The sequence below is a fragment of the Homo sapiens genome, chromosome 10, assembly GCF_000001405.40.
Source record: "Homo sapiens chromosome 10, GRCh38.p14 Primary Assembly".
NCBI lineage: Eukaryota > Metazoa > Chordata > Mammalia > Primates > Hominidae > Homo > Homo sapiens.
This window is the reverse complement of record NC_000010.11, coordinates 54,069,398-54,088,763: the sequence shown is the minus strand read 5'-3', so window position 1 is coordinate 54,088,763 and position 19,366 is coordinate 54,069,398. Positions and strand designations below refer to the sequence as shown.

The 19,366-nt window shown below is 33.3% G+C and overlaps 1 protein-coding gene across 20 annotated transcripts in view; it reads left to right on the top strand.

Annotated features, from left to right (window-relative positions):
* The window catches only part of PCDH15 (protocadherin related 15), a 1,825,172-nt gene that overhangs the window by 1,539,179 nt on the left and 266,627 nt on the right, over positions 1 to 19,366 (top strand). For all 20 annotated transcript variants that reach the window (XM_047425663.1, NM_001354420.2, NM_001354429.2 and 17 more), the window contains one exon: positions 9,340 to 9,433. In XM_047425663.1, the coding sequence (XP_047281619.1) occupies positions 9,340 to 9,433 (94 nt within the window). The remainder of the gene's footprint in view (positions 1 to 9,339; positions 9,434 to 19,366) is intronic.

Below are 19,366 nucleotides of genomic sequence, written 5' to 3'. Positions count from 1 at the left end.
AATATGCAAGAGAATGAATTTCAATTTTTATCTCACATCATTCACAAAAATGAACTCAAAGTGGATCATAAATTGCAATATATGAGATAAAACTGCATTCCACATAGAAGAAAATACAGAAGTAAATCTTCATTATTTGGATTAGTCAGTACATTTTGAGATATGACACAAAATGCACAAAGATTAACGATAAAATTGATAAATTGGGTCTCGTCAATTTTTAAAAATGTATTTCAAGGAGCACCATCCTAAAGTGAGAAACAACCTACAATCAGAGAAAATATTTTAAAATAATGTATATGGTGTGAAACATGTCTCAAGAATACATAAAGAACTGTTACAACTTAATAAAGAGAAATAATCTAATTAAAATGGGCAAAATATTTGAATAGATATTTCTTTAAAAAAGGATATGTGAATGGCCAACAAGCACATGGAAATATGATCACGATCACTGTTCATTTGTCATTAGAGAAATGCAATTTAAAACTGTAAAGAGATTTGACTTCATACATACTTTGTGTCTGTAGTGATAAAGAAAGGCAAAACCAGGTATGACTAAGAATGTGGAGATACTGAAATCTGCGTAAATTTATGTGGCCATGTAAAATGTGCATGTGTGAGTTCGTTTTTGCACTGCTATAAAGAAGTGCTTGAGACTGAGTATTTTGTAATGAAAAGAGGTTGAATTGCCTCACGGTTCTGCAGGCTATACAGGAAGCATGATGCTGGCACCTGCTCTGCTTCTGGGGAAGCCTCAGGAAACTTAAAAGTCATGACTGAAGGCAAAGCGGGGAGTCAGCGCTTCACATGGCCTGAGCAGGAGGAAGAGAGAGGGAGGGGAAGTGCCACGCACTTTTAAACAGGCAGATCTCCTGAACTCTATCAAGAGAGCAGGACCAAGGAGGGTGGTGCTCAACCATTCATGAGAAACTGCCCCCATGAGCCAATCACCTTCCAGCAGGTCCTATCTCCTACATTGGTGACAATTTGACAGGAGATTTGGGCAAGGACATGGATTCAAACTATGACTACACTTTGGAGAACTGGCCTTTTCTCCAAATGGTAAACAGAATTACCGCATAAGCCAGCATTCTGCTCATATGCAAGAGAAATGAAGACGTGCATCTACATAATAGTTTGCACAAAGAAAGTTCATAAAAGAATTATTTACAATGGTACAAAAGTGGAAACAAGTCAAATATCCATCTACAGAGGAAGGAATAAACAAAATGTTGCCTGTCTGTAATAATATAATATTACTCATCAATAAAAGGTAATGAGGTACTGAAACATGCTACAACATGTATGAACCTTGAAAATATTATGCTAAGTGAAATAAGTCAGTTGCAAAAAGAGCACGTATTATATTATTTCATTTCTATAAAATTTTCATAATAGGCACATCTATAAGATAAAAAGTTGATCAATGATTGCCTGAAAATGAGGAGTGGGAGAGAATGGGGAGTGACTGTTAATAGATATGGTGTTGAAAATGTTCTAAAATTGATTACAGTGATGATTGAACAACTCTGCGATTATGCTAAAAACCATTGAATTGTACCCTTTAAATTGGTGGATTTTATGATATCTGAATTAAAATGTTAACAAAGCTGTCAACAAAAGAAAAAGACAACAATGAAGTTTTCACCTGCTCTGGTAAGCAGGAAGCCCAGGTCTCTTAAGAATTTCTATTCCTGTTTTTCCCTTGATGCCAAGAGATTTTTCAATTGCTGATTGTGAAATCCAGTGAGCTACTAGTTTTGCCAAATAAATTATCTAAATGCACTGCTTTCCTATATCTCTAGTGCTCCTCTCATCTCTGCATTTGGAATGAAAAAGATAATGGCTGGGTCACAGAGGTTCTTAAAGGTGTAAATTATGTCAATGCAAAATCCTTTTAGTCTAAATTGACCATGATTCTTAATGTTAAAGCTCTTAGGTCAACCTGGACAGACATCTCCTTAAGACACAAACTGCTTCCAGGAAAGCTAAAGCAGAACATGTCCCTATAATGGTTGTGTGATCCCTTTTGATGATCATTCTTGATTCAGGGTCCTGTACACTGGGCCCTTTGCCTTCTATCCTATGGTCACTTTGTTTCCACCACCTCAATGCTGTTGTTCTCATTGATATTTATAGAGTAGCCTGAACCACTAGCAATACATTTCAATGCATTTGAAATGGAGAACAATAACTGACATTTCAACTGCCACCTTCTTTGAAACTTCTGAGATTCATGTTCAAAACTTTGCACTACCACTTCTCTATAACTTTCAAGGATATGAACAATCCAGGTACTGCTATAGTTTGGATATTTGACACTCCAAACCTCATTTTGAAATTCGATCCCTCATGTTGGAGATGGGGCCTAATGGGATTTGTTTGGGTCATGGAGGCAGACCGCTTATGAATGGCTTGTTACCAGAGGTAATGAATGAGTTCTTGCTTTATTAGTTCCCACAACAAATGGTTGTAAAAAAGGAGCCTGGCACCACCCCTCCTTTCTTGCTTCCTTTCTCACCATGTGATCTCTGCACACACCAGCACCCCTTCACCTTTGGCCATGAGTGGAAGTACTCTCAGCCCCTCACCAGAAGCAGATGCTGGCAGTATGCTTCTTATACAGCCTGTAGAACTGTGAGACAAATAAACTTATTTTCTTTATAAATTACCCAGCCATAAGTATTCCTTTATAGCAACACAAATGGACTAAGACAGGTACGCTAAAAAAATAAACAATGTTCTACCTCATCAGACACTTCAATATATGCTATTTGGGTTATATTTTATATCTTAAAGCAAAATGAAAAAATATTTACATGTCTATTGTATACTTTAAATACCATATTATTTTATGCTATAATGCAAATTCTCTCAATACGCATCATTATAATACCATTACTTTCCTTTAATGAAATAAAAGTATGCCAAAATTTTCTTGTATTTCTTTTAAAAAATTAGTAGTAATGAATAATCATCTTAATGTCAGTAGGGTTTTACAAAGTACTGAATTATTATTTTAATAAATTGGCTTAGTCACACAGCCAAGAAAGAAACTGGGTCTTTAAAGAAAAAGCCTTGGTTTTTTAAAAATCACAAACATTGGTAATACAAATCATTCAGTGTCATGTATTAAGTGGCCATATCTGTATGATTCTAATATAATGCATTTTTCTAGTATCTTTTCATAGTGTCTGTCTTGATAGTGGCATATGATTTAGCAAATATTCACTCAGCAATCATCCACAAATAAGTACACATTTAAATAAGATATATGGCAACTTCCCTTATAAATATGATGGCCTAATGGTATAGTTATTTATTAAGGGAGGTTGAGGAAATGCCATCTCTCAAATATTTATGGATTGTTATCACTGAAGCATGGGGTCTGTGATGCCAACACTTAAAATCAGTGCTAAATAAGAGAATTTCAAAAATTATCTCCATCTCTGGTCCAAATTCTATTAAAATTTTTTTTCTTCACTTGCATTTTAATTTTTTCTTTGGTGATTAATTTGTTTTGACATTACATGTAATGCTCAATTATATTTTTCATATCAGTTTGAATTTTATGATTATATTGAAAATTAAATAATATATAAGAAAGATATTTATTTTATTCCCTGACAGCTCAGCTCTACTTTCAAAATATTAAACCCAAATCAAACTATTTCTCACACTTCACTCTACTACCTTAGTTCATGCCACCATCATCTTTTCCCCAAACTGCTGTCAATACCTAGCTCCCTTTATTAGTAGGTTTTTGTTAATTGCTAATTGCTATTTAATATGAAATGCCATGTCAAACTTGAAGCAACTGTACATTTTAAAGTATACTCTAATCTCTTTAAATATCATTGTAAAGCCTGAAACTCAGTGCCCAAAAGCAATGTGATAAATCTGTCAAAGGCTCAGACACCTCCAAGTGTAAATGTTCAGTCACAAGCTGTAGAATTTTTAACAAAATTTTAAATAAGCAAAGCCTATACATCATGAAATATGTGAGATAATAGTTTATAATGATGCTGCATCGGTATTTCCTAATAACGGAATTTTGAAAAACAGTTACTTATAGAAGCAGGTTTTAAATTCGGTAGCTTGTTTTGTTTGGAAGTAGATATCCTCTGCTACTTTCTATTTACATCATTGAATTTTCTTAAGACTGGGTATTACTCTGTTGCCCAGGCTAGTCTCAAAAGTCTAGGCTTACGTGATCCTCCCACCTCAGCCTCCCAAGTAGCTGGGACTACAGGTGATAATTTTTATTTTTTTATTTTTTTTATTTTTTGAGATGGAGTCTTGTTCTGTCTCCCAGACTGGAGAGCTGTGGTATGGTCTCGGCTTACTGCAACCTCCGCCTCCTGGGTTCAAGGGATTCTCCTCCCTCAGCCTCTCAAGTAGCTGGGACTACAGGCACCCACCACCACACCCGGCTAATTTTTTGTATTTTTAGTAGAGATGGGGTTTCACTTTCCCATTTGACAGAAGGGAAAACTGATGGCACAGAGCTTTTAAATAAGCTCCCAGGGAACCTGTAATCCCAGCTACTCAGGAGGCTGAGGCAGGAGAATCGCTTGAACCTGGGAAGTGGAGGTTGCAGTGAGCGGAGATCATGCCATTGCTCTCTAGCCTGGGCAACAGAGAGAGACTCTGTCTCAAAAAAATAAAAAAAAAAAAGTGCACATTAAAAAAAAAGAGAGAGACAGTGTTTCACTGTGTTAGCCAGGATGGATGGTCTCCATCTCCTGACCTTGTGATCCTCTTGCCTCAGCCACCCAAAGTACTGGAATTACAGGCGTGAGCCACCGCGCCTGGCCAAATTTTTAAATTATGTTTGAACACCATTTTTATAGTTAGGCAAACCCTATTTTCTATAATAATTGAGTATGCCAAGCATAATATGTTTCAGGAACGTAGCCCAAAAGCTTGGTGATGGAAAATACTCTGCAATATAATTTATATAATTGAGGCAAAATTCACATAGCACAAAATTAACCATTTTAAAGTGAACAATTCAGTGTTGTTTAGGAGATTCAGAACTCATGCACCTACCAACTCTGTCTAGTTCTAAAATAGCTTCATCACTCCAAATAGAAACCTGAACCCATTTAGCAATTGCTCCCTATTCCTTATTTCCCTTAGCCCCTGGCAAACACCAATCTGCGTACTGGCTTCATCAAGTTACCTACTTTGAATATTCTACAGAAATGGAATCATGCAATGTGTGACTATTTGTGTCTAGCTTCTTTTTTGTAGCCTAATGTTTCCAAGATTCGTCTGTCTTGCAACATGTGCAAGTAGGTCCCTACTTTTCATGGCTACGTAATATTCCATTACATGCATATACAACAATTTGTTTACCTATTCATAAATTGATAGACGTTTAAGCTGTTTTTCTACCTTTCGGTATTACAAATACCGCTGCTGTGAACATATATGTACGTGTATTTAAGTACCTGTGTTTGGCTTTTTTAAGTATATACTGAATAGATTTGCTAGGGAATAGTGTAATTATGTGTTTTTAACCATTTGAGGAACTGTCAAATATTTTCCACAGTGATTGAAGCATTTTATATTCCCACCAGAAATATATGAGGATTCTGATTTATTCCCATTTTTGCCAACAATTATTTTTTGTTGTTGTTGTTAGTAATGGTGGTTGTTTCTTTTTTTAAATATAATTATCATAGTGAGTGTGAAGTGATACTTGGTTGTGGGTTTTGATTTGCATTTGCCTGATGACTAATGACATATTTTCATATGCTTTTTGATTATTTGTATATCCTGTATATCTTCTTTGGAAAAAATGTGTATTTGAGTCTTTTGCCTATTTTTAAATTGGGATTTCTTTTTGATGTTAAGTTATGTAATCCTTTATATATTCTGGAAATAAGACTCTTACCAGATATGTGATTTGTAAGTATTTTCTCCAGTTATATGCGTTGTTTTTTTTACTTTCTCGATAATGTCCCTTGATGCACAAAAGGTTTTTTTTTTTTTATTTTGACGAAGTTCAGTATATCTATTTTTTCCTTTGCTTCCCGTGCATCTGGTGTCATATCTAAGAATCCATGGCCAAATCCAAGATTATGAATATTTACCTCTAGTTTTTATCTAAGAGTTGTTTACAGGTTTCAATTCTTGTGTTTAGAAAAATTGTTGATCCATTTTGAGGTAATAGCTGTGTATGAAGTGAAGTAGTCTAACTTAATTCTTTTACGTATAGATTTCCATTTGTTCCAGTGCCGTTTGTTGACAAGACTATTCTTTCCTTTTGAATGGTCTTGGCATTCTTGTTGAAAATCAGATGACTGTAGATGTGTGGGTATATTTATGAATTCTCAATTATATTTATTATTCTGTATTCCCCAGTACACTTTTGAGTGCCTGAATTTTCCATGAAACTATTTACCCAGACTTTCCTGGCAAGTTTTTGGCACTCTATTATACGCCTCAAGTGTTTGTGGGCTATCCCCTGCCTTACAATATTTCTGAGGAATGCCCACTGCTTTTCTGCTTTGAGTGATTTCCAAGTTTGATGAAACAAAGATAAGTGCCATGAATCACTCCTTCAGGCAGTCTCCAGACAGACTAGAATAGACCCCCACAGTTCTTTATGAATAAGGATAGCTCGCTCCCTCCAGAAACAAAGACCATAGTGTCACACTGGGAATGTTCACTGATGTTTTCAAGGCCACTCTGAGCCAGTGAGATGGTAGGATAAAGACAAGTCAAAATGCCACAGAGTTCTTCTACCAGATTTGATTTACCTTTTTTTAAAACAAATTCTGCCTTCATCTGGTTGCTATAAACCTGTGACTGTTTTCCAGAGTTTCATCAAATTTGCTGTTGAAGGTCCCTGCTTAATTGTGATTTTTTGACGTTTTGTGGCGAGACCATCTCTTGGGGCTGTCTTCTCCATTTCCACTGACATCACTCCTGGGAAATGTATTTTCAATCCTGTATAAGTAGCAGTGTTATTGATGCTTTATCAATTGAAGAAGCTTATGTATTTTTAATATGTGAACTTATAAGGTGTATTGCATTACTAAGTGTACCCCAATGTATCCTGGCCTGATAGCCTCCATCTAGCTGGTAATAAGACTTTTTGTGAGCTATTTCTCGGATTTAATAAAAGGATGCACAGGTAAACCCATAAACTAGTCTTTCAGCTATGAATCCCAAAATACACTGCCTGTGTTTCTCCCCTTCTGCATTGCCCAAATATACCACACAACTGCCTACAACACTGAGTCGCAAGGCCCGCGTATTACATAAAAACTACCTCTATAATAATCACCAGACCATAGACAATTAGCTGTTTGTGTTTAAAATGGCCCTAAGTATGAATATACTGTATACTATATTGTTCACGGCATATAGTATTTTTGGAATAATACATATAGTATTATATATCCTAAATAGTATATATAGAGTATACATATATATTCCAAATACTATATACAGTTGGGAGGCGATATAGATTATTTATAAGAAACCATTCCTTGTCTCAAAGAATTCTGAACATGCTGAGGAATAATGGATCTTTTCTCTTGAAATAATCAAAAACAAGATAGATATTTTTCTTCCTGGAATGAATTAAGCGAAGTTTTGTTATGTTTTGTTTCCTGGAAGGTAGGAAATCAACTCAGTTATCACGTGAGTTTTGTAATTCATCGTAAATATACAATATACTTTTTAGTAATTTTCTAATTTAATGTACAAGGAGGAATATAGATAATTAACTGAGGGAAGAAACAAAATGAAAATGGTAACTCAATTTTCTTTCTTTCTCTTATTATACCATGGCTAGGTTTTCAGCTTTCCTGTTTCTTAAGATACTTGTGAATAAGCCTCAGAAGAAATACATGTCTTACTTTTCTCATTTAATGTAATTTTAAAATGGGATTATCTGGACCTTCTGTACTGTAGGAAGCTGGTCCAAACTTAATTGTTGTGAACATGCTCTGGGAACTGGTTTTCAATTATTTTGACAAAACATTTTTAAAATGTACAGGAAGCAAAGTCAGTTTTTCATGGGCATGCCATATGTTCAGAACTTTTTAAAAAGTCCACGTCAACCATTACAACATAATAAGCAAATTGAGTAACTGTGATTCTTATTTTGATTCATCGGCTTTGACTCTCTGTACTCAACTACCATATGTGATATGAATTGTTTAAATTTTCTTTACAATAAAAGCACTTACCTTAAAATGAAAGCATTTTATCCATTAGAAACAATTTATGTTTTGGACTTGGTACATATATTTTAATGTGTTATTATATTCAGATAAACTCTTCTACACAGTGGATACTTGTTAGGCTCGATTAAAATGTGTACAATATCAGATGTAAAATTTAAGAAATAAATGTAGAACCTACATTAGAGAGCAAGCCAAACTGTTATAAAATAAATTACATGGGTGAATAAAGTCTTAAATATTTGGAAACATTTATTCTGAGCAGTGAAAAGATAAGGAGTAGGTATTAAAAATATTGTAAGTGCAATAATTTTCCCAAGTGCTGTTAATCTCCCATTATACATCAGTTAAATTAAGAAACAGCTAAATTTCCAAAGAATAACAAAATACTAAAATTGTTAGTGTAGCCACAAAAGGGGTTTTAAACAAATTATAAAATGAGAACATGAATTCTAATACAATTATATTTTCTTAAAAAATGTAAAATATGCAGAATGATTCCTCTTCTGAAACAATCATATATTTAAATGTGGTTATAATAAAGTACAAAAAGAAACATTACAAAAAACATAATTTCTGTAATTTGAAAAAATTCTATTTTCTAATTTTGTACAATGGGTCTCTGTTATTTTAAAAGTAAGAAAAAAGAAAAACTTTTATCCATAGAGTTTGTCAGAGATAACATTTAGATGGGTTTTTGCATTTTCATAATGGACATACATATGACATAAATTGGGAGGTGATATACATTAGTTATAGGAAACCATTCCTTGTTTCAAAGAATTCTGAGACTGCTAAGGAATAATGAAGTCTTTTCTCTTGAAATAATCGAAAACAAGATAGATACTGTTCTTCTTGGAATGAATTAAGCACAGTTTTGTTATGTTTTGTTTCCTGGAAGGTAGGAAATCAGCTCAGTGTCAGTTTCATGGATACTGCTAAGAAATTTGACAGCCTTAAAAGCTGTTTTCAATTTTCAGAATGAATCTTAGTATTATACATCTAAAATACTCAAGCTGTGATTACTGAGAGGGGAAAAAAAGCTATCAAAAGTAATTCACTATACTAAGAAGACTCTCCTTGTGACATAATATCTCTTTTTGTCTTATTTGTTTGTTTGTTTTGTCACTAGCACGGGGATTCTAACCTTAGGGAAAGCACTGGACAGGGAAAGCACTGATCGCTACATTCTGATCATCACAGCTTCAGATGGCAGGCCAGATGGGGTGAGTATGCTCCCTGTGAAGGGGTTTTAAAAATAGTATTAAGGCAACTGAGAGAGTCTTAAACAATGTATCACAGACATGAATTAATGTTTTTCATCTGGAGCAACTTCTTATAATTACTAGAAGTGTTGCTCTTTTCTTCAACAGGCTATTAATACATGCACCTATACTCTGAATTTGCTATTGTGCTGCAACCTTTGACTTGACAGAACAGATACTTGAGATCAGCATTCTCACCTAACTTGTAGGGAAAATGAAATCTACTTTATTCTAACAGGTATTCCATTGTGTCTGTCATTTGCACTGCACCATGAAATGTGTTCTGGCAGTTTATTATGTTGGAACCTGTTACACTTAGCGTCATTTTTTTAAGGGTCAGGGAGGAAGAGTGGATTTTGTGGATAAATATCTTTAAGCACTTAGGAAAGTGATTTGCTTGTTTCCACAGGCATTTGTAAGTAGCAGTAAGAATCATAAGTAATTCTTGGTTATCTAAATAATTTAAATGGGCTTATAATTCCAAAGAAGATAAATTCTATTTCCTTTGGACCTAAAACTCACTTTAAAAAAAAAAAATTGTTAGACATTCTGAACTGCTTTAAAATCACTTGTCTGTGTTATTTGAACGATCTCATTCACAACTGCCAGCATCCCGCTTTCTATGTATTGTAATATTACCATTGTTAATAATTATTTTCACCATTTCTATGCCATGTGTTAGGTGATTCTCTTTTTTTTTTCAATCAGGTGCTTATGTGTCAACTCAGTGCTATTGTCTAGAAATAATTTCAAACCCATTACAGATTGATAAGCAAGGCTCACTCAATTTAAATATCAACATATCTCCTGGCTCCTTGAAATGATCTATTTAATCTATATACTACATTGGCTGAAAGTATACAATAATAATGTATTTATTATTGTAATAATAAATGTAAAATAAATGTATCTTCACATTTATTTTAGGAGGATTTCTGAGATTTTATTATAATAAAAATATAAAATTGATACCTGAATAGTTTTCTCATCTTAACTAAAAGTGAGATAAATAGAAATAATTAAATTTGGTAATTGCAGTCTGTCCATAGTAAGCTATTTAACATTTTTCAGACATTACATAAATAAACATACTTATACATATAATAAAATATACAGAACAGTTGTAGTAAACAGTGAGGATAATAGGTACTTAGATGATAGAAAAGTAAATAAAACCTATGGCTAATTTTTATATAAGCAATCCACCTAATTATTATTATTATTTTTTGAGATGGAGTTTCGCTCTTGTTGCCCAGGCTGGAGAGCAATGGAAACATCTCGGCTCACTGCAAACTCAGCCTCCCGGGTTCAAGTGATTCTCCTGCCTCAGCCTCCCAAGTAGCTGGAATTACAGGCATATGATACCACGCCTGGCTAATTTTTGTATTTTTAGTAGAGACAGGGTTTCACCGTGTTGGCCAGGCTGGACTCGAACTCCTGACCTCAGATGATCCACCCTCCTTGGCCTCCCAAAGTGCTGGGGTTACAGGCGTGAGCCACTGCGCCCAGCCTGCCCTAAATTATTACAGTATGTCTGTGTTAGATGTATGTAAAGAAGTCAGTGAGAGTTTCTGGAGGAAGTAATTGAAGAACTTGACTTATGATGAAAGTTTAGAGGGTAACTCGGCTAGGCAATAAGTGAGAGAAAATATTCTAAGGAGGAGAAGGAGAAATTATTTAGCATAGATTAAGAGGTATAATTACAGTGAAGTGAAATTAAGAAAGCATTCAGGTCAACCAATAAAATAGGAAAAAAAGAAAGGATAATACATAGCTTTGAAATATGCCACATTATAAATCAGAAACTAATGGCAGTAATATTAGCTAGAACATTTTAAGTCTGTCCTTAAAGTTTCTTAGACAAGGAAACAGATGGAAGGAAAATAGTCACAATCTACTAATAATACTTTTGACTACTTAAAACCAAAATAAGTTCTGGGCTAAAATCAGTAGTTTTGTTCTTTCTAGTTCATTGTTCAGTAATTTATTTGTATATTTTAATTCTCCTTGGACAGGACACTTAGCATTTCTAGGTCCTCGTTTCCTCATATAATCACTCAGGTTTCATTTTGCTTTAAAATTCTGATTTTCTGAGTAAATTTTGTGTTCATTTGTAAAGTTTGTAATGAGAATATCAGTAGAGTAGAAAGCATTTAGATTTCAAACAAAAGTTTATTCAGTTAATTCCATCATTTATATAATTTTACGGATATACTTATATGTAGGCATACACAGTGGGTTCCTGAAGAAAAAAAGTGATTATATAACAATAATATTCTCACGTCTTAATAGCACTTTTCTTATCTAAATATTTAGTAATTACAGTAAAATTAACCTTTTAAACTTAAGAATCATGTGGTTTAAAACAGATATTTAATAAACACAGACAGATGGATGGAATTTATTGAAATGAAAATGTTAACAAGCAATTTGTGTGAAACAAATTGCCAGGATGAGTTTGAAAATTTGATCATGAGAATACACGTTTTCTACCATCTCAAAATGGGGATGATGGAGATAAGAGGTCACATTCTATTGGTCATTGTGAGTTTATTTGTAGACAGTATGGAGGAAGTTTGATTTGACTGTCCTTTTCTAAATTTTCTTTGTTAATGATTGTTGAAAAATCTGTATAAGTTGCATGTGTCATGTAATTTATTTTTTTTTTAGCTATCGGGGGTACAGATAAAACTATACTTTTTCGATTCTAATTTTTTTTTGAAGATTCAGAACAAGGGTGTCTACTTTTACCATTTGTGTTCAACATAGTATCAGAGGTCCTCACCAGAGCTATTAGGCAAAAAAAGAAAGAAAAGAGAGAGAGAGAAAGAGAGAAAGATCCAATTTGAAAAGGAAGAAGTAAAGTTATCTCTGTTTAGAGGTGATATGAGTTTGCATATAGAAAACTTTAATGATTCCATACACATGTTTCATGTTTGCACACACATACACAAATGTTGGAACTAAGAAATTTTGCAAAGTATCAGAGTACAAAATCAGCACACAAAATCATTTGCATTTTCATAGATTGAAAATGAATGAGTTAATTAAGAAAACAATTCAATTTGCAATAGTATCCAAAAGAATAAAATACTCAGGAATTAACTTAACCAGGGAGATAAAAGACTTGTATAATGAAAACTACAAAACATTTTGGAAAGAAATTAAATAAAACATAACTAAATTGAAAAATATCCCATGTTCATGGATGGGAAGACTTAATATTGTTAAAATGTTAATACTCTCCCAAGCAATCTACAGATTTACTGCAATTTCTATTAAAATCCCAATGATGTTATTTGTAGAAATAATTTTTTTAAAAAAACAAACTTATTCTAAAACTTATCTTTAAAATTTCAAGGGACCCCAGATAGCCAAAAAGAAAAATAAATAACAAAGCTGGAGAACTTATACTTCTTGATTTCAAACTAACTACAAAGCTACAATACTCAAAACAGAGTAGTACTAGCATAAAAACAGAAATACAGGCCAATGTAATTTAATAGAAAATCCAAAAATAAACTTTCACTTAATTGGTCAGATAATTTTTAAGATGGGTGCTATGATCATTCTACATGCAAACGAATGAAGTTGGACCTTATCTAACATCATATGCAAAAACAAACTCAAAAGTGATTCATGACCTAAAATGAAAACTGAGTCTATAGAACTCTTAGAAGAAAACATAGGGCAAAAGCATCATTTCATTGCATTTGTCAGGGATTTATTGGCTATGACCCCAAAGACACAGACAACAACAACAAAAAATAGACAAGTTGGAATTTGTGATTTTGTAAAGGGGTGTCAAAGACACAGAATAAAAAAGCAACATAAAAATGGGAGAAAATATTTGCAAATCATATATATGATAAGTCATTAATATTCAAAATATATAGATCTTTTTTTTTATTTTTTGAGATGGATTTTTGCTCTGTCACCCAGGCTGGAGTGCAGTGGCGCGATCTCGGCTCACTGCAAACTCCGCCTCCCGGGTTCAGGCCATTCTCCTGCCTCAGCCTCCCGAGTAACTGGGACTACAGGCACCTGCCACCATGCCTGGCTATTTTTTTGGAGTTTTAGGAGAGATGGGGTTTCACTGTGTTAGCCAGGATGGTCTCAATCTCCTGACCTCGTGATCTGCCTGCCTCAGCCTCCCAAAGTGCTGGGATTACAGGTGTGAGCCACCACGCCCAGCCCGAGAATTTTTTAAAGAAAACAAAAATAAACAAACTGATTCAAAATTGGCAAAGTACTTGAATAGACACTTTTCCAAAGGAGATATATAAATGACCAGTAAACATATGAAAAAACACTTAGCATTGCTAAATATTATGGAAATGCAAATCAAGGCCACAATGAGGTGCCACCTCACACCCAGTAGAGACGCTATTATAAAAAACAAACAGAAAACAAAACAAAACAACAACAACAACATAACATGTTGATGAGGATGTGGAAAAATTGGAACCCTTGTGCACTATTGGTGAGAATGTAAAATGGTACAACCACTGTGGAAAACAGTGGTAGTTTCTCAAAAAATTAAAAATAGAATTACTATATGAGCCCCCAATCACACTTTCATTTATATATCAAAAAAATTGAAAGCAGAGTCTCCAAGAGATATTTGTATTCCCATGTTCATAGCAGCATTATTCACAATAGCTAAGATGTAAAAGCAACCCAGTTTTCCATGTTTATGTAGAGTAATATATAAACAAAATGTGGTATATACATATAATGAAATATCATTCGGCCTTAAGATGGAAGAAAGTATGACATACACTATATCACAGATAAATCTTGAGAACATTATGCTAAGTGAGATTAGCCAGTCACAAAATGTTAAATTCCATATGATTCCACTTATATTTTGGTACTTAGAATGGTCAAAAATCACAAAGACTCAAAGTAGAATGATGGTTGCCAGAGGATAAAGAAAAGAGAAATGGGGAGTTATTGTTTAATGTTATAGAGCTTTTGTTTTGCTAGATTAAAAGAGTTTTAGAGATGGATAGTGATGATGGTTGCACAAGAATATGAATATACTTAATACCACAACATTTTACATTTAAAAATTGAGATAGTACAAACAAATACAGAAAAAAAATCTAGAGGTGGACAGTGAAGAGATGGTGCAGGTGCACATCAGTGCCATTGAGGATGCCTGCTGGCTATTTTCTGCTTTGCCATTTTTATTGTCTACTTTCATTCCCATCTTCTGCAACTCTAGACGTCAATTCTCTATACCAGACAAAGTATAAAGATGAATGCCAGAAGAGTCTGCACCCCTGCTTTATTTTAACAAAGCACCAAAGTTTTTTCAGAAACCCCATCTAGCAGATTTCCTTTTAGATATTCTTATCTGTAAGTAGCAACAGTGGGTAGAAAAATAGCTAGGAAGTAGGGCTTATGGATTGCAGCTGTGTTAATCAACCAATAACACAGTGAAAGATATAAATAAATATGCGAACAGTGATCAGTAATTTTTTTCATTTAAAATGTGAAGTTATTCTGTAGCCTAGATATTTCTGACCAGATTCCGTGTGTTCAGCAATATTATTTTCCTCCTTAATTGATACAATAGGTAACTTGATTCCATCATGGTTTGATTTCTGTAAAATGCTCTTGAATTACTGGATTGAATTACTCAGTTATGGCTTTCAGTCTGAACACTTGTAATATTTCACAATTTCAGATTGCTAGAAGACTTAGCATCTTTGTTTTTGTCTTGAAGCAATATTATTTCCTAAATTTCTTTGAAACATGGCAATATAAATGAACAATTAACATTTAAAAGTTGAGCATTTAACTTCATAATCAAATAGGAAACTTTAACAAAAGCAAAAATACATGCGTGAGAAAATGTGTGAAGTTAAAGTAACTTTGAATTTCAAAATAGTTGATTTAATATTTTAGAACACAATACGTATGGTTATAGAATAGTAAAACTTTAAACATTTAAGTCATATATGTGAATCTTTACAATATATGTAACATGCAAAATGTTTATGTACAAATATATAAATATTTATATCTATAGTTCTATATTATATATACTATAGTATACAGGTATACTATAAATACTTTCTGATATTTTTGAAAATATATATTTATATAAAAACATGCACGATTGCATAAAATGTGTATACATACATACACACATACATATATAATCTTTACACACTACACTCAGATGTGCACAGAGAAAAAAAAGCTTCTTTATTTTTTATACCTGATGCAATCTTCCTACTTAGACAATAATGTATAAATATGTGTTTGGACAGGTAGGGAATAGATGTAATCTGGGTCACACTTAAGTTTCTTAGAACAGTATTTCAGCATTATCTGTTTAAGACAATATAAATACTCACTAGTTAAGCTGCCAACCAAACCTCTCCTCCCTGACTTCATTCTAAAATTGTGGTCTAGATGTAACATGTATTTACCAGTCCTTTATGCTGGTAGTATGGCTTCTCTCTCTTGACACCTCTCTCTGCCATTGCTGTATATTCAGTGCCATAACCTATTAGATGGGACCTCCCATGGAACCTGTGGAAATTTTCTGGAGGCTTACATACTCCTGAAAACTACTGTGATTATTTCACCCAAATTTCTCTTAGTTTCCCAGTCATCATTTCCCCCTTCTTCCAAAATGTTTCTCCAGTGCCTCTTCACTTAAGGAGGGGTCCAAAGTGGCAGTAGGGGATGAGGAGGAGGACCTCTGCCTCCTGCCTTCATGTCTCTTCTGTGTCTCCCTTTCTCCTTCCCGTAATTCATAATAGAAGGAACTTCCCTTTTCTCTTTCTCAAAGAAATTCTAGATTTTATGTATATTTTTTTCCTTCAGAAGGAAAGAAAGCCTCCTGGCTAATCTTTAATGGTAGGAAGGACCTCCACTCTACATCATGAATGAAACTCTACAATCTGAATGAAGTTGGCTTGGCTCTGAACTGTGTAGCAACAAGATGACTTGCGCTTAAGGATGAAAATGTTTTAAATTAATATTCTCTAAATACTATACTTATTATTGAATATGTATTTTTCTTGTTTTATTGGCCTAAACAAAAAATGATTGAATTCTAAACTATAAATCCTCATTGTCCCATTGTTATTGAAAAGAATTTTAGATATAGTAGTGAAGATTTTTATTCAGATAGGAAAACTTTGTGTTCTATAAATAACATTTCTTGTGTTTTCTCACAGATGGAAATTTTCAATATTCTTTCTAGCTCTTCTTTTTTCAGACATTTAAATAAAATAAGTTATAAGGTAATTTATTTCAGCATGTAGTACAAATTATAATAAAAATAGATATTTAAAGTATCTAAAAATATTCATTGAGCTGACATTGTGTGTTCTATTAGTAAACACGTTAGACACATTTCTTAATAAAATAATGTCTTTATTATTTCTGAGAATATATAGTGAATCTTGTTGACTATAGAAAAGAAATTGCACCTTTGAAATTAAACACTCATGTTTTTATTTAAGAAATAGATAAATGATAAGTGCTCCATAATTATAGTGTTACCTTACCTCTGATAATGTTTTCTGCTTTCTTAATGAACAAATTGAAATATTCCTGACTGATTCCTATACATACCATGAGTCTCTGCTCAGATAAATTCTAAGCATACATGTTTCTTAAACCATGTATTGAATGTCATTGAATTTCAATCATCTAATATAAATGTAATAGCACAAAACAAATGGCTGTGCTATGAGATGCACACAAAATATAAAGAAATAGTTTTCTAGCCATGAAATGTTTAACAAATTTTGTGTCAAAAGATGTAAAAATTAAATGATAAAAAAATGCATTTTTTTGTGATTAAATAAAAAACAAACATCCCTTCTCTTATCCTCTCTAGGATTAAAGCCAAAATTGCTTATTAAATTCGTAGTATTACACACTGCCCTTAAAAGTGTTCATTAAGTTGATTAACAAGAAAATGTATTAAAAATTATTCATTAAATTATTGAGCAAAACACATTTCTGGTTTTCTTACATAGCTAAACATATGCTAATCAGAAAACCCAGTTATCTGACTTCCAGCTATTTACTCAGGAAATGAAAATTGTATTATTTATCCATTGCTCAAAACTGTATAATACAAGGCGCATTTACAAGGTCAAATTAACAGGACTTGGTGACTAATAAATTGCATGTATGAGATAAAGTGACTTAGAAAATTAGTTAATTATTTTGCCATGTCATTTCCTGAGATAGGAAATACTAGAAGAGAATAAATAAGATACTCTTAATGTATGTTCTCACGAATTTCAAATAATGCATTGTGTATTGATAGATGAATTTACACTACTTTCTTTGACTATGGCTTTATAACTCACTTTTTTTATACTATTAAAAAACAACAACAACAACAAAAAACAAAAGATGAGCTGGATATCGCGGCTCAGACCTATAACCCCAGCACTTTGAGAGGCCAAGGTGGGATTGAGATGAGAAGTTTGAGACCACCTAGGCAACATACTGAGACTCTGTCTCTACAAAAATAAAATAAAGAAATAAAAATTAGCTGGGCATAGTGGCGTGCACCTGTAGTCCCACCTACTTAGGAGACTGAGGTGAGAGAATCACTTGAGCCTAGGAGTTCAAAGCTGCTGTGAGCTATGATCACATACTGCACTCCAGCCTGGGCAACAGAATGAGACATGTCTCAAAAAAAACAACAACAATGAAAATAAAAAAAGATGCTATATTAATATCCTTCTTTCAGAGCCATACTAGTTTATAAAAATAAATGTGTATTCAAATTACAACAGTAAGCTGGGTGCGATGGCTCACGCCTGTAATCCCAGCACTTTGATAGGCCAAGGCGGACAGATTGTTTGAGGTCAGGAGTTCAAGATCAGCCTGGCCATCATAGTGAAACCCCATCTGTACTAAAAATACAAAAATTAGCCAGGCATGGTGGCACATGTCTGTAATCCCAGCTACTCAGGAGGCTGAGGCAGGAGAATTGTTTAAACCTGGGAGGCGGAGGTTGCAGTGAGCAGAGATCATGCCACTGCACTCCAGCCTGAATGACAGAGTGATACCTTGTCTCAAAACAAACAAACAAACAAAAACAGAAATATCTTGCATTGTTGAGAATGAGACATATATTTTGAAAATTCTTCTATGATATTACAAAAGGAAATTCTAAGACACATTTAAATTAAATAATGAACATGAAAGTGTTCAATTACAGTATTTAGTACTAACATGCAAGTATTTCCAGCTAGTGGAATTATAAGTTAATACAACTTTTGAGGAAATAATCAGTGAGCAAACTCCGTTGATGGAAAATACGTAACTTTTTATTTATTAGGTTTATTAGTTTGAGATCTTTTTAATTTAACTGGCATTATATATATATTCATATTTAAAATTAATTGTGAACATGTGTTAATGACATATGGTCCTAACAATTAATTAAAGTGATCTGTTTTCATTTGCTAATTTTTAAGCTTGAACAATGAAAAGAAGTCTTTCCTTAATAAGACATAAACATTCTCTATGGCACAGATCCACATTGAAGCATATTGTTGCCATCCTTCTGAACCAATCAAGAAAAATTAAATAAATATGATTTACACCTAACTAATTTATAAATATTTCCATAGGTTCAGAACAATAGTCAATAGACCTAATGGATAGCCCTGAAATCCTCATTTTTACATAAGTATTTCTGAAGCAAGTGGTATTAAAAAACTTCAAGAAATATATAAACTGGAAATTATTCTATGTATAGATGTGACTGTACATTTCTGTAAGACATGGATTTTTTTCATGTCATATAAAATTCAGTAAGAAATGAAGAAAATGCCTGCATGTCCCATAAATATCATCCCCTATTAGCACAAAATTATGGAATTGTTATTTGACTTC